The sequence below is a fragment of the Homo sapiens genome, chromosome 10, assembly GCF_000001405.40.
Source record: "Homo sapiens chromosome 10, GRCh38.p14 Primary Assembly".
NCBI lineage: Eukaryota > Metazoa > Chordata > Mammalia > Primates > Hominidae > Homo > Homo sapiens.
The window spans coordinates 115,972,246-115,997,389 of NC_000010.11; the positions used below are offsets into that span (position 1 = coordinate 115,972,246).

Below are 25,144 nucleotides of genomic sequence, written 5' to 3' on the forward strand. Positions count from 1 at the left end.
TGTGGAGCCAGGAGCCTGGGAATCCAGAGGCTTTCACTGGGCTGGTGCAAAGGTAATTGTGGTACTTGCCCTTACTTTCAATGGCAAAAACCAGTTACTTTTGTACAAATCTAATATCTCACAGCCGCTTCTCTGACTGTTTCTGACACCCAGCTGGGCCCACCTGCCTCACTATTTAATTCACCCCAGACCCCCTTCTCTTGTATTTTCTCACAACTCACCGAGAATCAAAGAGTAAATACTCACCGTATCACCCAAGGTGCCCCAAATGGAATTGCACCTCAGCCCTTCACAGTCACCTGCTGAGTGAGGCCAACATCACCCGCCGCCTGTACGCGGGCCTTGGGCACCTGCTGGCCTCCCCGCTTGCCCCTACGCTCCACACTCCACACTTCAGCCAGGGCCAGGCTTGGCAGGTATCAGTGAGATCAAGTCCTTCTCTTGCATAAAACCCTCTGGCGCTCCCCAGCCACCTACAAATCTAAAGCGTGTGCTGGGTTTCAGGCCCCATGATCTGCCTGCAGCACTGGTGTCCCGTCTCTCATTCACCTCCCTACAGCACCTGTCCCCACCTCTATCCTGTGCGCCTCAGCCCAGAACAGTCTCCACTAGGAAGTCCCATCTTCCCCAAATCAAATGTCTCTGAACTAATGTCACTTCCCAGTTCCTCTCTGGAAACTGACCTAAACTGCACCCACTGTATCTCTCTCCTCCTCTTTCCCCTGCATTGTTTTCACTTTTTTTTTTTTTTCCTGAGACAGTCAGCTCATTGCAACCTCCATCTGCCAGGTTCAAGTGATTCTCCTGTCTCAGCCTCCTGAGTAGCTGGATTACAGGCAACCACCACCTCACCCAGCTAATTTTTGTATTTTTAGTAGAGACGGGGGTTTTACCATGTTGGCCAGGCTGGTCTCAAACTCCTGACCTCAAGCGATCTGCCCACCTTGGCCTCCCAAAATGCTGGGATTACAGGCATAAGCCACCGAGCCCGGCCTCTGCATTATTTTTTTCTTCAGGGCAGTTATAACTTCCCATAATTATATTTTTTCCATATTTTTATATAACCTAGGTACAATAAAATTTACTCTGGGTGTTGACAAAAATACATGGCCCTATAAGCACCACCACAATCAAGACAGAGAACAATTCCATCACCCTCAAAATGCACTTGCCCCCCTTTGGACTCAGCCTCTTCCCAGCCCTTCGTTAATAGCCACTCTCTTTTCAGATTGCTTTTCTGTCCTTACAGTTTTGCCTTTTCCATAATATCATATAAATGGAATTATATGGTATGTGGCATTTTGAGTCTACCTTCTTTCACTTAGAATAATGCATTTGGGAAGTCAGGTGTGGTGGTGCATGCCTGTCATCCCAGCTACTCAGGAGGCTGAGGTGGGAGTATCACTTGAGCCCAGGAGTTTGAGCCAGCCTGGGCAACACAGCAAGATTCCCATCTCCTTTTAAAAAGTTATAATAATACGTTCAGGATTCACATTGCTGGGTATCAGTAGTTCATTCCTTTTGATTGCTGCATAGTATTCTGTTACATACATATACCACAGTTTGTATATCCATTCTCTATTGAGGATATTTGGGTTGTTTCTAGTTTTGTGTGAATATGAATAAGGCTGCTATAACCCCTTGTGATCAAGTTTTTGTGTACACATACGTCCTCATTTCTCTTGGGTAGATATCTAGGAGTGGGATAGTTGGGTTCTTATGATCTGTTTTCCAGAGTGGTTATACCATTTGACATTCCCGCCAGCAGTAGATGTGAGCTGCAGTTGCTCCACCTGCTCATCAGCCCTTGATGTTGTCACTTTTTGTTTCATTTTGTTTAGCCGTTCTGTCCAGTGTGTAGTAGCATCGTATCCATGGTCTCATCATTAGACATTGATTCCTAAGAGACCGAATATACAAATGGACAGTGGCCAGACTATACATGACAATAGCACTCTGACCCACAGCCTCTGCAGCAACCTACCCAGGTTGGGCAGGACTTGGTCTGTGAGTGCAAACTTCAACTCAGGACCAACCATAGACAGCCCAACATACACCCCTAATCAGTTGCATAGGATGCCTCTTTTCTAGGTACCTCCAGCTTCCCCATACCAATAGCCTCCAAGCATGCCTGAAGCCTTCCTCTTTTCTGCTGTAAAGCCGTCCCACTCCCCTGCCTGCCTTGGAGCCTCTGCCAAACACTAGTGTCAGCGGCTGACTCCCTTGCTATATAGCAAGCTCTGCATGCCTCTGACTGTTCTCATTTAAATGGTCTTCATTTATCTTACAAGTTTAAGTATTCAGTCTTATTCCGTCAGGACAGGGTGTCTGGAAAGATCCCTGACATGCTAGCGGGTGCTCCAAAAGTGCTTGTTGATGGACTGCAGGAGACTCCAGCCCTCAGTTCTTGCCCTTGACTAATTTCTTGTTAAGTCAGGCAGCTGCATGGGCAGTGGGAGGCCTGGGGTTCTGGCAGGTTCCTGGGCTCCCCATCTCTGCTGGAGGAGGGGGCTTAGCTCTGCTTCCTCTCCAAACTGACCCTCGCTGCCTCCTGGTTCCCTGGTTCCCTGCCTGGTCTAAGTGGCCTCCCTCCACTCTGTAGAGAGAAGATCAGAGGGCTTGGGGCCACCATGGGGGCTGTAGGGTAAGGGCCTTCCAGTTCTTTCTAAGGATCCTGTCTACTGTGGAAGAATGTGGAGCCCAGGGGAGAGAAAGCCTACAGCAGGCCCTTTTAGAGGCAGCCAGAATCTTCCCTACTTTTGGAAGCGGACTCGTGAGAAGCGGGGCCTGTTAGACTAAACATTGCACTGTCCCAAATTGCACCAATTTTGGAAACACTTCTCAGGCTGTGCCTCTCTCTGGGAAAAGGGCTTTATAAACCCTTACTGGGAAGCAGTCTCAAGCGACTCTGAGTGCATCTCAGCTCAAGGGCTTTCAAAGGCCCTTCTGGAAGCCAACCTTCAGACACTGGGCCTGCGGTAGCACAAAAGCAGCTTCCCTAGACCTAGGCAGGCTGGGGGCTCGGCCTTGGCCTTGGCGGGGAGGGGGGCGTTGAATCTCGGGAAGGTTGGTGGGGGGCAGGGATTAGGGCTACAGGGAGACCCCCCCCAAAGCCCTGGAGACACCCACAAGGGCTGTGCTTTCTATCTAGTAAATCAAACATTAAAAACAAACAGCAGAATACAATGTCCTCTCCATGCGTGAGGGTATCTTGTTGTCACTATGGAGTCAGATTTATTTTTTCGAAAATGTCTGACTGTTGCTTTATTTGTTTAGAACATCTCCAATTCACCCCAGATTAAGTATTTAATGATCTGCAAACAGAGATTTGAAGATGCAGCAATGTGATCAATTTCACCCTCTGTGTTGGAAACCAGCTGTGAGGTGCTATTGTTAAGGATGTGTTAAGTAGGTGCTACTGGGAAAGAGAAAAGAATCCACCCCCAGCCTGACACTCCTCCATCCCTATAAGATGACTTTGCTCAGGGAGGCCAGAGCATTTGTGGGGCAGAGGGACCGCTGCAAAACCAGCTGTGAATCTGGGCTGCTGACTTCCTCACGGCAGGTGAGGTAGTGAATCTTCACATTTTGCTCGTCCTGTTTCCCCATCAGTAACTGGCAGGCAACTCACAGGGCTTGGGGATCCATAGCTCGGGCAGCACGCGACAAACAGAAGCACTTCTTATTCTTTTTATGCTCAGCAACATATTTATTTCAGATACACAAAAAAGACAGGCTGAAGTCAGAAAAGAATTAGGGAGAATGGCGAAGTTTGAAGCAACCTCATCTATTGCCTAAGATTTTGGGTGTGTTTTGGGAGGGAGGGTTTTGTATATGGTTTGGTTTATTCCTAGTTGATTAGTTTTCTATCAATTGAACTTTTTTATTTGGCACCTTTGTGTGTAGAATGCACTGCAGGGTTCTATGAGTGAAATAAAGATGGTTAAGTTATTGACAAGGAATGAATGTATGAACTGATGGACATTGAATTCCTGGAAGGGACAGGTATTGGGTCAAGGGCCTTCGCATTTCCTCTTTTCATCTGCCCAGCAGAGATTCCTTGTAAGGAATCTTAACAGATAAAGAAACAGAGGTTTACAGAGCTTCTGGGCTCTCTCAGGTTTCCTAAGTGTGTACCTAGGATGGCGTCTGATCCCTGGCTGGTAGGGCTCTTGTGGACATGAGCTCCCCTGACTTGGGTGGAACCAGCGACTTCACTGCAGACTTCAGTGTGTGCATCTTGCCCTTGGGCTGCCCCTCACAGTGGAAGAAGCCCTCCCCTTGCACAGCTGGGCTGCTGAGCTACACCCACACCCAACGCCACAGGAGAGATGGAGAAAGGCAGGGGTGTGTGCCAATGAATGGATCACACACCCTCTTTCCCTCTGAGATTTTCCCAAGCTGTTCAAATGATATTCTGATCCCTGACACCTTCCATCTCCTGCCTCAGTAATGACCAGCAGCCTCCCAGCAGCTCTGCTGCTTCTCAGCCGCGTTTCCCTGATCCAGCACTTTTTCCTTGGTGCATTATTTTCCCCTGATTTCGAAATTCCCCTTGGATGAGAATCAGACACTGAGCTCTACAAACTTCGCAAATTATGAATTATAAAAAAAAAAAAAACATGCTCCTGTGACAACTTTTTTTTTCTTTCCCCATGAATTCTCCTAAAAAATGCAGTTTTCTCTTAACTCTGGCTTTTTCTTGAATTTCGTTTCTTAAAGCTGACTCTGTGTCCCCAGATTTTTTCTGCTTTCATGGGCTTGGAGCCTGCTGTGTGGCTCTGGCTTTGACAGTCCCAGATCCTGGGAAAGACTTGCATTATGTCCCTTCTGATTTTCAGTCCTAATAGTCCTAATGGGTCCTCCGCAATTTAGAACATTGACGGTAAATGGAAAAAGAAAGAAGAAATGAGCCCGGCCTGCACTAGGGCTGCCCCAGCCAGGCTCTGTGTATAAACACTTTAATGTCCTAAGCAATAAAACCACAATAAAACCTTATGCCACCGTGGAGAACCGTGGGTGCAACAGGCCAGCTCAAAAGTCAATCGATCCCAATTCTGCCCTGGGGTCTCCTTTGGGAGGGGCCACTCCCTGTCGCTGTGACACAGATGCAGGGAAGATGAAGGTCCCAGAGGAGAGGTGACCCTTTAAACTCAGTCCTTCCCCCACATCCAAGCTAATGCAAGGAGCCAAAAGAGATTTCTTCCTTCTCTTCAGCCTGTCTCACTCCCAGCACTGGAGATGAGCATCAGGGAGGCAGTAAAAGAGTGGTGATTAAGAGGTAGCAAGAAGGGACACAGACCTTGGATTGCCCACCTGTGTGTTGAGAATTCACTAGGTGTGGGGACATGACACAGGTCGGGGGCAGATGACACTTGGAGAAAGGCCCAGAATCCTATCAACTATCATGAACTGGAGTCTAGAAAGAGAAACCAGAAGCACATTGAAATTGGGGGAATGTAGGGGGCACCAGGAGACTGAGAGTTCAGGCAGCTTCTGCTCTCACTAGCTTGTGACCACAGCACATTTCTTAACCTCTCTGGGCCTCAGTTTCCACTTGTGTATAAGGGAGACTGCATCTACTGCTCAGGTTTGTTCTAAGGACGACATGAAAGAACACGTGTTTAACACTGAGCTTGGTGAATAGTGACTGTTGGCAGGTCCTGGCTGCTATTTATTTTTTACTATCATTCATTTTGATGCAGGAGGGTTGAAGGTTACTGTGACAGCAGAGACAGCATTCAGGAGCCCTGCCTCGGGGCTGAGATGGCTGTGTGTCTTCAGACAAGTGATTGAGCTCTCCAGGCCTCAGTTTTCTCTTCTGTGAAATGGGTATATCCATAATACTCCACAGGACTGCAGCAAAGATGAAATGAGGTGATGCTGTGAGTGCTCACAGTGGTCCTGACACACAGCAAAGGCTCTGTAAATATCAGCTCCTAGGGTGGCTCTTTAACGATGCTCACAGGGTCTAAGTCAAGGAACAGCCTTAGAATTATAAAGGCAAGTGGATGCGAACACCAACGATTACCTGAGGACACATAGTGGGTAAGGAAGGGACCCTCTTTGTTTGAGTTGGTCGGGGGGGTGAGGTAGCCTTTGAAAAGGGACCCTATCATCCACCCCAGGTTCTGAAGGGTCATGTGTGCACTGCTCAGCGCCAGAGCTGGGCAGGGCCAGAAGTTGGGGGCACAGGTGTACATTTGGACTGAATGTGAGGAAGAACTTGTTAACATTACATTTAATTTTTTGGAGAAAGTGATATATTCACAGGGTTCAAAAAATCAAAGAGGACATAAGGAAGGATACACAGACAAATTGTGCTCACACCTGTTTTGTCTGTCACACGGGGTCTACTACACCCACATTGACTTTTATTAATTTATTGAGAATTCTCACAGTGCTACCTCATGCAAACATACACAAATACAAATATGTATTATTTTCCCCCTTTTAATGCAAAATGTAGCATGCATTATGCACTGTTCTACACATTTTTTTCTTTAATTTCTTAAAATATATCTGGAGATCTCTCCATGTGAGATTCTTGATTCTTCCTTAGCAATGTGGTAGATGCACTGGGCAGATGTGCCGTGATTCCATTATTCTCTATAGACGAATTCTTTAGCTATTTCCAGTCTTTTATGACTACAAATAATGCTTCATTGCCCACCCTTGACTTGCCATGGACCCATTGCCTTGACTGTATCTGTGTGATTTTGTATATGTTTGGAGCGGGTGGAGATTAGAAAGATTCGGACCCAAAAGTGGGGTTGCTGGCTGAATCACAAGTTAAAACAATATTGTGATTATAATAGATGTTGTCAGATTGACTGCACATGGGTTATGCCATTTTGTACTCTCATAAAAAATGCACTCAGGATGGGCATGGTGGCTCATGCCTGTAATCGCGGCACTTTGGGAGGCTGAGGTGAGAGGATTGCTTGAAGCCAAAAGTTCAAGACCAGCCTCGGCACCATAGTGAGACCCTGTCTCTACAAAAAATGAAAACATTAGCTAAGTGTGGTGCATACCGGTAATCACAGCTACTGGGGAGGTTAAGGCAGGAGGATCACTTGAAGCCAAGATTTTGAGGCTGCAGTGAGTTATGATTGCACCAATGCACTCCAGCCTGAGCAACAGAGCAAACCCTGTCTAAAAAAAAAAAAAAAAAAAAAAAAAATGCCCTCAAATGTCTCTTTTGCTACAGGTTCCCCAACTGCTTTCAGGGTCTGGGATTTTTCCTGGCCTATTAAGTAAGAAGAGGTTTCCCCAGCATGATGTCAATCTTTCTCTTATTCATAAGTGTACAGGTGCACAAGTCATTAGCATTTCTTTCTCTGTGATTTGGGTGTTCATGTATTTTGTCCATTTTCTAGTTGAGTGGTTGTTTTTGGTTTCCTTCTTGATTTCCAGAAGGTGTTTTTCTATTAAGAAGATTATCTCTGTCTAATCAGAGGAAGAGGGAGGGAGAGAGCCACCTGTCAGCAGAGGTGTTGGCAGGGATGTGGGGGAGGGGAATTCCGACAGAGGCTGGGGGCTGGTCAGGCAGGTGTTGTTAGTGATAACAACTTGTTATTATCACTGCCCATGTGACAAGGCTCAGCTCAGATCCCACCTCTGCCAAGAAACATTCCCAGATCTGCCCAGTTGGAATGATTGTTATCCATGGCCAGGGCACACCTCCATGGACATCATAATCTTCCTGATGACCAGTGAGTGGCCAGAAGGTACAGGAGAAAGAGCATTGCTGGGGATGCTGGGAGCTGTGGATTCCTCATCCCAGCAGGGCTGCGGTTCACTCCAGGCATGGTCCTTCCCTAATCTGGGCCTCAGTTTCATCAGGACAGTGGGAGAATTAGACTAGACTGGCTTCCAGCCAATTCACCTGGGGAGCTTTTTAACAACACACGTGTCTGGTACCAGCCTCAGACCAATTTGGTTGGATCCAATGTGGTTGGATCAGAGGGAGAGGCAGCCTGTGTATTATTATTATTATTATTATTGTTATTATTAGTAGTAGTATTTTGAGACAGAGTCTCACTCTGTCACCCAGGCTGGAGTACAGAGGCATGATCTCGGCTCACGGCAACCTCCTCCTCCTGGGTTCAAGTTATTCTCCTGCCTCAGCCTCCCGAGTAGTTGGGATTACAGGTGTGCACCACCACACCCAGGTAGGTTTTGTATTTTTAGTAGAGATGGGGTTTCGCCATGTTGGCCAAGCTGGTCTCAAACTCCTGGGCTCAAGTGATCCACCTGCCTCAGCCTCCCAAAGTGCTGGGATTACAGGCATGAACCACCACACCCAGCCAGTCTGTGTGTTTTGGTGTGCAACCCTTAGTCTAGACAGTGATGACTGTTAGGATCCCTCTGACCCAGACACTTGGTCACTGTATATCTCCTGCCCAAGGGGCAAACCCCTAGGAGATTGTATCTTCCTGGGGGTAGACATATTCCTCGTCAGCATGTAGCAGGCACTCAGAAAACATCTGTGGAATCCAGCAGATGAAGTTGTCTCCTTCTTAAGTCTCATTTTCTTATTTCTGAGTATGAAAATGCACGGCAGGGAAGGGACAATTTTGTAACCTCTAAACTGTGTGGATTTGATCCATTTATAACACAAAGTTAATCTAGCCCAAATTAATCATCCTGAAGCTATTAGCCATTTAGAATGTCTCCCCAATGGGACGAGGGGTCGTGCATTTACAACGTGTGGACTTTATGAATAATTGTTTCCTCTTCAATGCTGAGCTTGTATTTTCTTGATGAAAAATCCATGGTTTTTTCCCCACCTGATTTGAGGCTGCTGTTCATACTGGAAGCCTTCTCAGCCCTTGCTTTAATAACTCTGGCTTCTCTGACCTTTCATCTCTGCTCCTCTACCCATGCCCCTAGATTCGATAGAAAAATCCAGAGTGTGTATCCAGCAAATGGCTTCCGGGGAAGTGAAGGGGGGCAGGCTTGTGGGCTCCCTGACTGCATTTTCTAGCACTTTCACTTTTAAAGGCTCCTAAACAAACAGCCAGCACCACTGGTCATTAGGGAGGCCTTTGACGGAGCTGGTGCATCAACCCAATTACTGGGGCGCATCCAGGCTTTACACTGTAGGTTGGAGTCCACGGCACTTCAAGTGTAATCTGTGCTCTGGCAGCCTAAGAATTTGTTTTAGGCTTAATTGGCCCGAGGCTGGTACATGGTCCCCAGCTTTGTCCCCTAAAGCGACGCATGCTGCAATTCAGTCTGAGAGTGGATGAGCGGCTTCCACAAGGCCCCTTTACAGTGGGAATAAAGCTGCATCAAAAGCACTCAGCAGAGACCACCCGCCCACCATGCACCTCAGGCTTGCTGGGCAATGTGGCATGCCCGAGTACCTGAAATCACAAAAAATGTGATTCTCTTTCATTCTCAGCTGTAACCATATGCTTTCCCATGATGTTTTTCTCCCATAAATCAGCCTCAAGAATAAAGCATGTGTACACAAACATTTCTTACCAGTCAGCCTTTCCTTTATTACTTTGTAGCAAAATAAATGAAAGAATTGTCCTCACCTCACTGCCTTGTTAGTGTTTAAGATGAGCCCTGGATGGGGGATCTCAAAGGAGGGTCTATGGCCCTGGCTCTGCTCCCTGTGACCTTGGGGTTGACATTGAACCTCTTCCAGCCTCAATTTGTGCATGAGAATAATGGGAATGCTACTCCCTCTCCAGACTATCTCACTGGGTAATTTTAAAAATTGAGTGAAAGCATCTCTGAGAAGTGCAAAATTATTCAAATTCATAGTGTTCCTAGTTTCACGACTTGAACTAGGTGTTTTTTTTCCCTGCCTTTAAATCTTTGGTGGGCGATTTTTCATCCACTACGGGACGTTTTTCAGAGCTGGTGTATCTGGCAACAGAAGTACAGCTCACCTTCCTCATCTGTCACCATTTGTCACATTTTCTAAAGAAGATCTCTGCAGATCATATGCCAATTTGTTGGGGGCAGCTATCCATCAAGGCAGAACCCGGATCATTCATCTTCAGACCTGGCTGCTGCCGCCGACACAAAGCAGATGCTGCCCTGAAGGGCTAAGAAATGACAGAAACAGCTCCTCTGAGAGTGAGCCACAGCACCCTGTGACTTGTGATGTGTGTTCCAAGAAGAAATTGCAAAAAGAAGGCACATTTGAAATTATTGCAAACCTCCACTCTGGTTCTATGTATTTCTTGCCCAAATCTAACACCCAAGAAGGAAAGAAAGGTCTCCACAGACTCTGGTCCCATTCCCAGATATCTTATAGTGCCAACATTATAGTTCCTATCTGGCTCACAGAATTTATGGAAAGCTCAGGTAAGGCTTAGTGTGACCACTCAAACCTTGGGGAATTACACATCATTTGTGCAGTGAATATTTGAGCATGTGCTCCGCTCTGAGAGTATGATGGTGAACAAGCAAGACAGAACCTTTGTTCCAGGGATCTGACAGCCTCGGGGAGAGGACAAATGGCAGATAGCCATCACTGCAGAATGTGACAAGGAGATGTATAGGGGCTTTAGGAGCACCTAGGAGGAGGCAACTAACCTGGTTATGAAGAATTGAATAAGTTGATGAAATACTAACCAGGGCTGGGTGGCTGTGGGGGTAGAGGAGGGTTCAAGATAGAGGGGAGCAGGTGTAAGACTCAAAGTGAAGGCAGAGCCTGCTGCTTGAGAGCAGTGCTTCTCAAAGGGCAATTCCCAGACCAGCATCACAAGCAAATCAAATTCAGCGAACCAGAAGCTCTAAGGGTAGGGCCCAGCAGTTGGTTTGAGCAAGCCCTCAAGTGATTCTGATTCCCACCTTAGTCTGAGAACCTCTGTATTAGAGAAAGTTAGCGAAGAGGTCAGCCCATCTGAGCATCTTTCCTTCTGGAAGAGACATTCCCTCTATCCTGGCCACTGTAACAGGGCCCCTTCTTGTACTTTGGATTCCCATTTTTTTTCTCAAACTGCTTCCCTTCTCTGCTATGTTCAACTGTGATGCTTTGTTCTTAGCTCTTGGCCAGGGGTAGTGCTCAGCCTCCTGACCTCCATACTCCCCCTACTCCAAAGAACTGCAAAGAGAAATAGACACATCCACAGTTATTGGCAGAGATTTCATCAACCCTCTCTCAATAATTGTTAGAAGAAGGAAAAAATCCAGAAAATTAATGAAGATATAAAAGACAACAATATCATCCAACTTGACCCAGTTGACATTTATAGGACAGTTGAGCCTAAAATAGGAATATACAAATTATTTTCAAATATGCATGGAACATTTACCAAGATAGATTACATTCTGGGTTACAAAACAAGTCTCAATAAATACAAAATGATTCAAGCCACACAAAGTATTTCTCTGATCACAATGGAATTAAATTAGAAATTGATTATAAAAAGAAATTTGGAAAATTCCCAAATATTTGGAAACTAATACACCTCTAAATATCATACAGATCAAAGAAGAAATCAAATAGAAGCTAGAAAATACTTTGAACAGAATAAAAATGCAAACAAAATCTGTGGAATGCAACTAAAGCATTATTGAGAGGGACATTTGTAGCATGAAATACATAAAAAAAGAGAAAAGTCTAAAATAAATGAGCTCAGTTTCCACCTTAAGAAACTAGAAAAATAACAGCAAACTGAACAAAAAATAAGCAGAAGAAATGAAATAATAAAGATCAGAGTGGAAATCAATGAGATAGGAAACAGATAAACAATAAAGCCAATAAAATAAAAATCTAGTTATTTGAGATCATCAATAAAATGAATATACTTCCAGCTGGACTATTTAGGTAAAAGAGGGAGAGAGAGAGAGAGAGAACACAAATTACCAATATTGGGAATGAGAGAGATGATATCACCACAGATCCTACAAGATACTGCAAAGATAAGTAAGAGAATATTAAGAACAAATTTATGCCAATAAATGTAAAACCTTGGATGAACAGAAAAATTTCTTGAAAGACACAAACTACCAATGCTCACTCAAGAAGAAATAGATATTTCAAATAGTCCTATATCTATTAAATAAAGTTATTGTAATAAAAAATCAAAAGCTTCAGGCCCAGATGGCTTCACTAGTGAATTATAACTGAACATTTAAGGAACAAATGGTATTAATTCTACGCAAACTCTTCCAGGTAGTAAAAGAGGAGGAACTACTTACCAAATCATTGTGTAAGACCACCGTTACTCTGATACCAAAATTAGACAAAGACATTGCCAGCAAACTACTGACCAATATCCCTCATGAACATGTAAGTAAAAGCTCTTAACAAAACTTTAACAAATAGAATTAAACAATATATCAAAAGAATAATACATCAAAGCAAGTGGGATTTATACTAGGAATACAAGATAGGTTTAACATTTGAAAATCAATTTAATTCATCATATTAACAGACTTAAAAAGAAAACTAATCCTCTCAGTGGATGCAAGAAAAGAGAAATGTGTCAAAATCCAGTATTCTTACTAAAAGATGTCAACGAACTAAGAATAACAGGCATCTACAAAAAACCTGTAGGTAACATCACACTAAATGGTGAACAGAATGTTTTACCCCTAACACCTCAACAAGGCAAAGATGGCTGATCTAATTACTTTTACTCAACATTATACTGGAAGTTCTAGCCAGTGCAATAACACAAGACAGGTAGAATATAAAAGGTATTCAGATTAGAAATGAAGCACTGAAACTGTCTTTATTCACAGTAGATATGATTATCTCCTTAAGAAATCTACCAAAACAAAAACAAAAAATCCTGCTAGAATTAATAAGTAAGTATAGCAAGTTTGCAAGAGGCAAGGTCAATATAAAGTATTGATTACATTTTTATTACTAGGAACAAATCATTAAAATTACAATAAAAATACCACTTACAACACCATCAAAACATGAAACACTTAGGGATAAATCTTACCAAAAGATGTGTGAGACCTGTATACTGAAAATATAAACATCGATGGGACAAATTAAAGAAATCCTAAATAAATGGAGAATGATACTTTGTTAACGAATCAGATGACTCAATGTCATTAAGAAGTCAATGCTCCCCAAATTGAAACAAGATTCAAAGCAATCTTAATCAAAATCTTAGCAGGCTTTTTTTTTAATTGAGTGGGCAGAATAGCTCCTCAACAATGCCCATATCCCTGGATGAATATGTTATGTTGCATGCCAATGGGGATTTTTTACATGTAATTAAGGTTATGGGACTTAACATAGGGAAGTTATCACGGATTATTCAGGTAGACCTCTTGCCAGTGGAGGGTGTCCAGGTTCTTGACGTCTTGAACAAAGAATTGGGAAAAATGCACAAACAAAGCAAAGAAAGAATTAAGCAACAAAAGCAGAGATTCATTGAAAATGAAAGTCCACTCCACAGGGTGGGAGCAGGCCTGAGCACAGGGGCTCAAGAGCCCCGTTACAGAATTTTTGGGGGTTTAGACATCCTCTACGGTTTCCATTGGTTACATGGTGTATGCCTTATGTAAATGAAGAGGATGAAGTAAAGTTACAAAGTCATTTACTTGGCAGACACCCTATATAAACGGAGATGATATTTCCTGTTATTGCTGAAGTGTTTCCATTTGATTTAGTTCTAGGAAGTTCTTATATTCCATGTCTCCAAACCCTCTTCTCCAGCTGCAGGCCCATCTAAGCTAATCACATGTGTTCTTAAGAGGAAATGACTGTCTTGAACTGAAAGAAGAGGCAGCAGTAGAAAGAGGTGGCAAAAGGAAAAGTCAGAGAGATTCCAGACATGAGAAAGCTTCAATGTACTGTTGCTGGCTCTGAGATGTAGAGGCCCATGTGGAAAGAATGAGAGAGGCATAAAGAAGCTAAGGGCAGCCTCCAGATGACAGCCAACAAGCCAATGGGGAGCTTTGTCCTAATGCAAGGAACTGGATTCCACCAGCAGCTTGCATGATCTTAGAAGCAGAGCATTCCCTAGAGCCTCCAGCAAGTAACACAGCCTGGCTGACACTTTGATTTTAGCCCAGTAAGATGCATGTCAAGCTTTGGCAGAACTGTGAGATAATAAACTTATGTTGTTGTAAGCTGCTAAGTTTGTGGTAATTTGTTATAGAAACAATAGAAAACTAATACAATTGGCAAGCTGATTCTAAAATACACATGGAAATCCAAACGACCTTAGAATTGGAAAAAGGAAAAAACAAAACCCTAAAAAATAACAAAGAAGACATATACTGTCTGTGTTCAAGACTTCACCAAGATGGTATGGTATTGATGTAAAGATAGATAAATGGATTGATGAAACAGAAAAAGGAGTCCAGGAAAAGACCCACATATATATGGTCAATTGATTTTTGATAAAGATACAAAGGCAATTCAGTGGAAAAAGAATAGTCTTTTTAACAAATGTTGGAGAAACCATTTGATAGGCCCTTCCAAAAAATAAACTTTGATCCCTACCTCACACTATATAAAAAAATTAACTCGTGTTGGGTCACAGACCAAACTGTAAAGCCTGAAACTATAAAACTTCCAGAATGAAATGCAGAAGCAAATAGTTGTTACTTTGGTTAGACAGAGTTATATGGATCACTGAAAAGATGAGCCATAAAAGCAAAAATTGATAAGTAAGACTTCATAAAAATTAAGAACTACTGCTCTTCAAAAGACACTGTAAAGAGAATGAACAGACAAGTCATAGAGTAGTAGAAAATAGTATATCTGTGTTAAAGGACTTTCATCCAGAATATATAAAGTCATGTTACAACTCAATACAAAAAGCAAATAACCCAATTAAAAGGGCAAAAGACTTAAACGGACGCTTCACCAAAGATGACATACAGTTGGCAGATAAAGATTAAAAGATGTTCAACATTATTAGTCAATAGGAAAATGCAAATTGAGCCTCAGTGAGATCCCACTTGTATTACTCCATTTTCACACTGTTATAAAGAATACCTGAGACTGGGTCATTTATAAAGAAAAGAGATTTAATTGACTCATAGTTCCACAGGCTTAACAGGAAGCATAGCTAAGAGGCCTCAGAAAACTTACAATCATGGCAGAAGGAGAAGGGGAAGCAAGCACATCTTACATGGCAGCAGGTGAGAGAGAGAGAGCGAGCGAGCAAGCAAGCACAGGGGAAACTGTACTTTATAAAACCATCAGATCTCATGAGAAAAGCATCCAGAAAACCGCTCCCATGATCCTATCACCTCCCACCAGGTCCCTCCGTTGTTCCCTTGATATGTAGGGATTACAATTGAGATTACAATTCAAGTTGAGATTTGGGTGGGACACAGAGCCAAACCATATCACCACTGCACACCTACTGAAAAGGCCTAAATTTAAAAGATCACCCAATGCAAGTGTTGGTAAGGATGTGGAGCAATTGGAACTTTCATGCCTTGATGGAAATGTTAAATGATGCAATCACTTAAAAAATAGTTTGACTATTTCTGAAAATGTGAAACATACACCTATCATGTGATCCAGCTACTCCACTCATAGCTATTTACCTCAGAGAAGTGAAAGCACATGTCCACAGGAAGACTTGTACATGCACATTCATAGCAGCTCTATTTATAATAAACACTAGAAATAACCCAAATGGCCTTCAACGGTGAATGCATGAAGAAATTGTGATATAGTTATATAATGGAAAACTACTCAACAATCAAAAGGAATGGGTAAACCCAAGAGCATGCACGCACCTCAAAATAAGTACACTGAGTGAAAGAAGACAAGAAAGTACATACTGTATGATTCCGCTTATTTAAAATTCTTGAAAATGCAAACTAACCTATAGTGACAAGGTAGATCAGCAGTTGCCTGGGAATGGGGGTTGAGGGGCTGAAGGGTGGAATTTCATAAGGACACAAATAACGGTTCCTTAATTCCATGTCTGGATATATGCCTAAAATAATTGAAAGCACGGTTGCAAACATGTATTTGTATAGCCATCTTCACAGAAGCATTATTTACAGTAGTCAAATGGTGGAAGCAGCCCAAATATCCGTTGACAGGTGAATGGATAAAGAAAATGTGGTATATACATAAGATGAAATATTACTCAGCCATAAAAAGGAAGGACATTCTGACACATACTAAAACATGAATAAACCCTGAAGACGTTATACTAAGTGAAACAAGCCAGTCACAAAAGGTCAAATATTGTATGCTTCTATGTATATGAAGTATGTATGGTAGTCAAGCTCATAGTGACAGAAGGTAGAATGGTGATTACTGGAGGCTAGAGGGGAGTAGGATGGAAGTTACTGTTTAATGGGAACCGAGTTTCCATTTTGGAAGATGAAAAAGTTCTGGAGACGGATGGCAGCAGTTATTGCACAACAGTGTGAATGTACTTAATGTCACTGAACTAGACACTGAAAAATGGTTAAGATGGTAAATATTATACAAATTTTATCACAATTTGTAAAATGGGCACAAGGAAACTTATGGGGAAATTGTTCACTATCTTGATTATGGTGATAATTTCATGGCTGTATACAAATGTCAAAACATCGATTTGTACACTTTAAACATGTACAGTTTGGTTGGGCATGGTGGCTTACACCTATAATCTCAGCCCTTTGGGAGGCTGAGGTGGGTGAATGACTTGAGCGCAGGAGTTCAAGACCAGCCTGGGCGACATGGCAAAACCCTATCTCTACTAAAAATACAAAAAATATCTCTACTAAAAAAAAAGAAAAAACCAGGGTGTGGTTGGGTGCCCCAGTAGTCCAAGCTACTCAGAAGGCTAGGATGGGAGAATCACCTGAGCCTGGGAAGTCAAGGCTGCAGTGAACTGTGATCATGCCACCCCACTGCAGCCTGGGAAAAGGAAGTGGGGCCCTGTCTTAAAAAAAATAAAAAGTACAGTTTATATGTTAATTGTATCTCAAAGCTGTTTAGAAACATTTAATAAAAAGAATACTTGAATACATAATGTAAAGACAGGAATTCTTATGAAGTCCTCATGTATTTTTTTATGAGTTTGAAAAAATTATCTTAAAGTTCACCTGGAAGAATAAACAAATGGGCATAGCCCTCCCCAACTTGCAAACTGCCTCACAAATATGCCATTCCCTTTGCCACAGAAAGAAGCCTGGTACAAACTTTTGTCAAGGAGTACATTCACTAATTCATTCTTTCCATCTTTCCCTTAACATGTGAGATCCCACCATAGCCCATGGCCTATTGCATTGGGTGGCAGAGCACCAAAGAGGAAGAGCACCAGGTTACGGTTGTCTGATTCCCAGTCTAGGGGGAGACAGCTTGGAAAACCATCATGCAAAGTACTCGTGAGAAAAGTAGGCACAGAATCCCTTCCAGGCCTTGTAAGGCTGTTTATGGTAACTTATCAGTTGAATTCCTAGAAATCTACAGATGTCAAAGGACAAGAGGTGAGAGAAGGGTTTTTTGGAAACGTGGACCGAAGCATGGAGATGGGACAACAGAGAGTAGTTTGTGGAAAGGCCCTATGTTGGTTTCCTTGGGCATGCCATGACATAAACTAACTGACTTGAAATAGTAGCAATTTAGCCTAGAACACTAGTCTCATAGTTCTGGAATTTAGATGTGCAAAATCAAGGTGTTGGCAGGGCTGTAATCTCTCTGAAGCCTGTGGGGGAGGATTCTTTCTCGCTTATTCTAGCTTCTGGTGGTTTTCAGCAGTCCTTAGTGTTCTTTGGCTTGTGGAAGCATAACTTTGACTTCTGCCCCCATTTGCACACAGTGTTTCCCTCTGTGTGTATCTGTGTCTCCACATGGCTTTTGTATAAAGACACCAGTCTTTGGATTAAGACCCACTGTAATCCAGTGTGACCTCATCTTAACTAATTACATTTTCAAAGACCTATTTTCAAATAAGGGAACATTCTGAGGTTCTAGGTAGAAACAAATTTTGGGGGGATACAATTTAACCCAATCCAAGTTCTGTAAAATATGCATCAAGAAAACAGGAGTATAGCAAGTAATAAGGCTGAAAGTTGAATTTAGTGCTATATCATGCTGATCCATGGGCCAAAGTTGTGTAATTATTCTAAAGGCTATCAGTTGCCTTTTCATCTTTCTGAGCAGAGGGCAGAGGGAGTTAAATCAGTACCTTTAGAAATTGTGTGATATCCACACGGTAGACCAATTCAGAGGAAAGAGACTGTACAAAGCACCTGGGATCTGGAGCTAATATAATTATCCTCCTTATACTCAAGGAGGCAGATCCCACAGGTAGGGGCAGGAGCAAGACTGAATTATGAGAAAGGGCACTGGTTGGATAACTGGTTGGTTGTGGTAGAATAAAGGAAAGGCAGAATTGAAGGTAAACCTGAGGTTTGCATCCTGGTTACAGGATGAATACTGATGATATTAACCAACAGAGTTGGTAGGCAGGAGGAGCAACTAATTGCTTTAGGGGCTCAGGGCTCAGAAGGCTGGAGTCAAATTTGGTTGTAAAAATTGAATCTTGCCTAGCATGAGTCATGTGGAACAACCCAATAAGTAAGCAATTGTAGAGGTCAGGGAACAACAGTTCTCCTGAATGCCTACCCAGGGCTTTGCTCATGGCACTCCACCACACTGGGATTCCCATGGGCAGCTGGATACAGGGAGTTGGAGCTCAGGAAAGAAACAGATTAAAAATGTAGATTTGGGGGGGATATCTTGGCTGACCAGGTGGAAACTTGGATGAATGTAGGGAAGAAACTGCTTCTTTCTAAGGCTGTCTCTTCCCCTCAAATTTTGTTGTCTCTGATTGGGCTGCAAACCTGTTCTTGAACCAGTCAATAGCAAAGGGAATGAATTAGCTTGACTTCCTTGGACCAATCATCTGGAAGGGGGATTGAGGCAGGGATGGAACAAATGTCTGGAAGCCAACCAATCTACCCAGAGCATGTATGTGCTGATGAATCTGGTGGGTCACAAAGAGAAAGCACAGAGATCTTCACTCTGATTTAAATACAGAATGATTTTTGTACACTCAGTTTTAGGCAGCATCTCAGTCCATATGGGTTGCTATAACAAAATACTTCACACTGGGTGATTTCTAAACAACAGAAATTTCTTGCTCACTGCTTTGGAGGCTGGGAAGTCCAAGATGAAGGTGGCAGCAGATTTGGTGTCAGATAAGGGCTGTCAAAGATGGCATCTTCTAGGCTCATCCTCACAAAGTGGAAAGGGGCACCTTTAAACCCCTTTTATAAGGGCACTAATCTGATTTATAAGGGCAGAGCCCTTGTGACTTAATCACTCCCCCAAAGGTTCTACTTCTTAATATCACCACAAAGGGGACATGAATTCTGGAGGGACACATTCAGACTATAGTGGATAAGCTGTGCTACCAAGGCGGTAACAAGTGAGTCTTCAGATAAAAATTGAGAAGGAATGGCTAGCGAGATAGAAGAACAGGTGCCCACAACCACAGGCACATTAGTCCCAAAGAAGTTAAGGAGGTGAACACTTCCTCTAAATACTTTATTTTAACCTTCATCTAAAAGGTAATTTGCATGTGTTGGCCTCAAGTAATGAGCATCCACATTTCGAAAAGCCTGCTTCTTTTCCCCTCCTCTCACCTATGCCCTGTATGTTTTGCTCTTAAGATTCCACAAGCCAAGAGATTCCACTTAGAGCATCATCTAGAAGGAGACCAGCACCCACAAACCAGGAAAGCAGATGTGCCTAAAATGGTTTGGCTGTGTCCCCACCCAAATCTCATCTTGAATTGTGGTTCCTATAATCCCCACGTGTTGTGGGAGGGGCCCAGTGGGAGGTAACTGGATCATGGGGTTGGTTTCCCCCATGGTATTCTCATGATAATGAGTAAGTTCTCACGAGATCTGATGGTTTGATAAGGGGCTTCCCCCTTTGCTCAGTTCTTTCTTCTCCTTCCTGCCACTATCTGAGGAGAGACATGTTTGCTTCCCCTTCTGTCATGATTGTGAATTTCCTAAGGCCTCTCCAACCCTGTGGAACTGTGAGGCAATTAAACCTCTTTTCTTTATAATTTACCCAGTCTTGGGCAGTTCTTTCTAGCGGTGTGAGAATGGACTAATACAGTGTCCAAAGCACTGAGAACCAAGTTCTGGATTAGGGCCATGTGTGCTTGTACTTCCCATCACATATATAATTCTGCAGAACAGCAGAGAGTAGAAATTGCCAACAAGAAAGTTAATGGCCAAGCCTGGTGCTATTCCCAGCCCCCATGGAGGGTGCCAGAACTCAGCAAAGTTCACAGATGGAGCCCACTTAAGGAAAATGGCACCTCCTAAAAACCAGTATGGCATTAGTGTTAATTGCCAATAGGGAGGGGGAAACAGAGGCCATTACATGCAGGAGGGAGCTGTGGTCGCCTGCTCCTGAAAAGAGGCTGCTCGTTATACCACTCCACTCAACTGCAGACACTTGCTGAGGAGGAAAGTGCTCCCTGGGGCTGCCATTCAGCAGAAAGCCCTTAGACCTGATGCATCCCAATCATTGCTCACTGACCCGGTGTCCTCCCCCAGGCCACACCAAGTGGCTCAGTTGCCATCCACAGGCTCATTTGTTTGCTCACCCTGCTGTCTGGTTTTAGAAACCTGAAGAGTTAATGATGGAAAAATAAACTTGGTGTAATGTCTGCTGCCTGCAGATACACAAGCTGCACTGTCGCTAGCTGGGTTTTTCTCCCAGTGAGACAGAGATTAATTATAAGAGGTAAGCATAAAACCCCATTCATGAATTTGGGACCATGCAGTGGCAAAGACAGAGACAAATTAGGAGTGTCTCCACCCGTGATGCCTATCAGAGGACTCCAACAGATGGGCTTTCAATGCATGCACTTTAGAGAAGTGCTTCTTCCTCCATGGCAGGAAAAGCAAATCCACCAGGCTCTCTAAGGAGAGAATCTGGATGCAGAACAATAATGTCCACCATCTGCATTTCAAAGTCACTGCAGACATGGCTCAGGAATTGGAAGAGAAGTTTGAATAAATATCTCATGGAAGTCACTTTCACTCATTGCTCTTACAGGCTGGCTAATCAGTCAAAGCAACAACTGTTACTGACACGCAGCATTCATAAATTTGGTACTAAAGCATAGCCAAGAGACCCCTATCCCTTTGAACTTATGTCAGCCCATTAAGCTACTCCCAGTGAGTGGAAACTGGTGACCTTGAGAAAGGAGAACGATGAAGCTAATAAAAGAGCTGTGCTGACCTAGTAAAATGTGGGACACTGAGGCTTTGGGGTTACAGGATCTTTCTGAGAGAACGCTCCTCTTTGAACAGATGAATGGGCATTCACAAAGCTCTACTCTTTTCCGAGGTGTGTGTCTCTGAAATGTTCTAGTATTCTGGAGTCTGAGATTCCTGTTTACCCCAATGCCCACAGTAAGATGATGGAGGGTCTGAAGGGCTCTGCACACCCTCTGCTCCCTCCCCTGAGCAGGGTCTTAGCTCCAAGGGGCCATACATGCCAGGTCTAGCCCTATAGCTCAGGAAGGCAGATCAGCTGTCATCTGGGGAGGAAGGATCCTAAAATAAGAATAGATGGGGTAAGCGAGGAGAGGAAGAGTGTGTGGGAGTTAAGCGGAAAAGAGGAAACCTCTCCATTAAAGTTTAAGGTCTACATCTGGTTTGTTTGTCACTGTTTGCCCAGCACCTAGAACAGAGACTGGCCCATAGCAAGTTGTTGCCTGAGCAGTCTTGTATGTCTTCCTGAAATCTTTTGTAGAGTAGTAGTTCTTATACCTTAGTACTCATTCAGGAGCCTTACCACAGAGCTATCACATTGCAATCTGAGAGTGGAGTTTGGATGGGACTAAAATCTTCATTTTCACAGCTCCGCAGGCTGGTCTGCAGACCCTACCTTTAGGAACATTGCATAGGATCTTAGGATGGGCTTTATTTCTGGAATGCAAATGTAATGAAACACTCAGGAGCTGGAACCTTCAGAGTCCTGCAAAGCATAGCATCTTGTTCTTGGTTTTGATCTGTCTCATCTGTAAGCCAGTCAATCGTTATTTACTCATCAAAACAGACAGTTAGAAGGAAGGGAGGCATTCGGCTGTCTTTCTGCCTTGTATTATGAATAAGCTCTTGTATATTCTATTTTTGACAGTGAAATAGAAATTAATCAAAGACAGAATGTCCTATTTGATTATAGGAGCCATCCTTGAGTGAGCCCTTGCATGAAACGTTAACTTCAAACAATGTTGTGTCTGAGCTACCTCATACTGGCCAATTGTGTGCATTTCTTCTCAGCTCCCTGTTCAGTGAAGCCACATTGGTAGCTTGAAATTAACCATGATGGGAATATTTACACTATAGCAATTGGCAAGTGTTATAAACCAGAGCTTTTGTTAATCCTCTAGCAAAACACTACTGGCTTTGGCCTGACCAGTCACATCTGTTCTGAAGGTGCAGAATCTTACTTTGCAGTTCCAGGGAGTGAGAGCAGAAAGCTGCCAGAACAAGGCCACATCATCACTGGGGCCAGGGCTAAATGCACAACCATATGGTCCCTGCAGGATGCCATGCTGGCAGGGCTAATGTGACCTTCTGTGCTATACTGCAGAGCCTTCTGGGCACCCCTGGACACTTTTCTGCCTACAGTCTTCCTCTCCTCTGACCTCATCTACATTTATCCTTTTATTTAGTTTGTTGATCAACCAACATACATTTCCTGAACACTTACGTGCCTATCCTTGTGCCTGGCACTGAAGGGCTTGCAGAGGTGTTTGAGGCTTGTCTCTAATGGAATTGGGATGGGGGAAAATAGAGCTAATGCCTATGAACACATTCATGAACAATAAAGTGAAAACTGGCAGCAACCTGATGTTCATAAATGACAGAAACCAGGGTATACTGGAGGCCTCCAAGGGAATTCCTTGCTCTTCTGTGATCCTGCAGATGCCTGCCTTCCCTTCATTCCACCAGCAACTTCACTGTATTCTAATGTCCTGTTCACACTGTGTCTCCCCTGCACCTGCCCCTGGAGCTCCACAGGATAGCACTGTGGTCTGATCATCTTTACAGCCACACTTTGTACATCACACTTTCCAGCAGATGTCTGGTGGAGGGGTAAGTGGACGGATGGAAGATTTGAGCCTGAAAAGTGGAAAGGACTCAAAACTCAAGAAAGAGTTGGGAACGTAGAGCTGGTGGAGCTGGGGTAGTAACAGAGTAAACAAAACACTTGAAAAAGACTTAACACTGAACTTGAACCAGGAGCCTTGAGAAGTTGGTCTGCCTGAAGCTAGACGTGCCTGCTGCATGTTGGAGGAGCAAAAGAGAATGAGGTGGAAGGGGATGGTAAGACGCAGAGGAGCTTGGATCTGGCTGACTAGGTCAGAGATATTCTAATTATGTTCTTCCAAAGAAGACCAGAGCACCACAGAGGCGCTTCAGGAGTTCTGTAAATAATTTAAATTTAATTTTCCAAATTACATATTTTAAACAGTAATACAATTACATTGGCACACACAAATTTGATTTACACTAAATTCTAACACATTGTTGACCTCCAGTGGGTTAACTTGTGCTACTAGATCAACTCTTTGAATAAAACTCTGGCCATAGCTGTTTAATGGAAGGCACTTCTGAGATTGTAGTATGTGCTATTGAACTGTAAATTGTCCCAGTTTTACTGGACCAAATCAAGATTTTTTCCATTTTGTACAATTTAAACCACATATACAAATAAACTTGATGTTAAGGCTGATATCAGATTGCCATTTTCTTCCATAGGCACAGATTTCAAAGTTTTAGGTTCATTTTTCTCATTGACTGACTTCGTTATATTCACAAACATTTAATCATTTGAACTCATGAAATAAATGTATATTAATATTACACAGTACCTAAGCAGAAACACAGACGTTAAAATTTTTGAAATCTTATTGGGCTAAAGCTAAAAAGCAATGAAGGAAACCCAATTTGCCTTTAAAAAGCCAAAACTTGCCATCTTATAAGAAGTGGTGATGGGCTAAATGGTTTCTTTGTTTTTGGAAAAACACCAAACTGGAGCCTTTAGTTATGGAAATGTCAAGACAAAACTCTCTTCTGAAATGGAGATGCTTGAGATTCAAGCTGTGGCTTTAAGAAGCTTTAAGAAGCTTAAAACTGCTTTGGGAGCATAGAGGGAAGTTGGCCTGGGTTGGGGGGCAGACACAAAGATGCTTCTGGGTAGATATTATGGATTAAATCATGTCTCCCAAAAGATATGTTGAATTCCTAACCTCCTGTACTTTCAAATAGGGCCTAATTTGGAAATAGGGTCTTTACAGAGGTGTTACCAGACCCCACCACTTACCAAAGTTAGCCTTTGGGTTGGGGGTTTTCTCAGTATTGTCCCTTTTGTGGTCACCAGAAAGATGTTACTGGAAAGGGGTCCTAATCCAGACCCCAAGAGAGGGTTCTTGGATCTTGTGCAAGAAAGAATTTGAGGCAAATCCATAAAGTAAAGTGAAGGCAAATTTATTAGGAAAGTAAAGGAATAAAGAATGGCTACTCCATAGGCAGAGCAGCCCCAAGGACTGCTGGTTGCCCATTTTTGTAGGTTTTTGATTATATGCTAAACAAGGAGTGGATTATTTATGCCTCCCCTTTTTAGACCATGTAGGGTAACTTCCTGATGTTGCCATGGCATTTGTAAACTCTCCGTGGTGCTGGTGGGAGTATAGCAGTGAGGATGACCAGAAGTCACTCTCATTGCCATTTTGGTTTTAGTGGGTTTTGGCTGGCTTCTTTACTGCAACCCATTTTATCAGCAAGGTCTTTATGACCTTTTATCTTGTGCTGACCTCCTATCTCATCCTGTGACTTAGAATCCCTTAACCTAGGAATGCAGCCCAGCAGGTCTTAGCCTTGTTTTACCCAGCCCCTATTCAAGATGGAGTTGCTCTGGTTTAAACACCTCTGACAGAGGTAATCAAGTAAAGATGAGATTGTTAGGGTAGGTTCCATTCCAATATGATTGGCTTCTTCCTGAAAAGGGGAAATGTGGAGATGGAAATAAGACATACGCACAGGGAGAACACCATGTAGAGATTACAATTATGTTGCCACAAGCTAAGGAACTATCAGAAACTAGGACAGATACTATCCAAGAGCCTTCAGAGGAAGCATCGCCCTGTTGATACTTCAATTCAGGCTGCTGGCCTCCAACACATTTCTGTTAACTTAA

The 25,144-nt window shown here is 43.2% G+C and overlaps 3 annotated features.

Annotated features, from left to right (window-relative positions):
• Positions 2,663-3,361: an enhancer, noted in NCBI's record as "OCT4-NANOG-H3K4me1 hESC enhancer chr10:117734419-117735117 (GRCh37/hg19 assembly coordinates)". NCBI's record gives its function as "activates a minimal SCP1, AML or CMV promoter by ChIP-STARR-seq in naive H9 embryonic stem cells {active_cell/tissue: H9 hESC(naive)}" and the evidence as "EXISTENCE:reporter gene assay evidence [ECO:0000049][PMID:30033119]".
• Positions 3,362-4,060: an enhancer, noted in NCBI's record as "OCT4-NANOG-H3K4me1 hESC enhancer chr10:117735118-117735816 (GRCh37/hg19 assembly coordinates)". NCBI's record gives its function as "activates a minimal SCP1, AML or CMV promoter by ChIP-STARR-seq in naive H9 embryonic stem cells {active_cell/tissue: H9 hESC(naive)}" and the evidence as "EXISTENCE:reporter gene assay evidence [ECO:0000049][PMID:30033119]".
• Positions 23,308-24,076: an enhancer, noted in NCBI's record as "OCT4-NANOG hESC enhancer chr10:117755064-117755832 (GRCh37/hg19 assembly coordinates)". NCBI's record gives its function as "activates a minimal SCP1, AML or CMV promoter by ChIP-STARR-seq in naive and primed H9 embryonic stem cells {active_cell/tissue: H9 hESC(naive and primed)}" and the evidence as "EXISTENCE:reporter gene assay evidence [ECO:0000049][PMID:30033119]".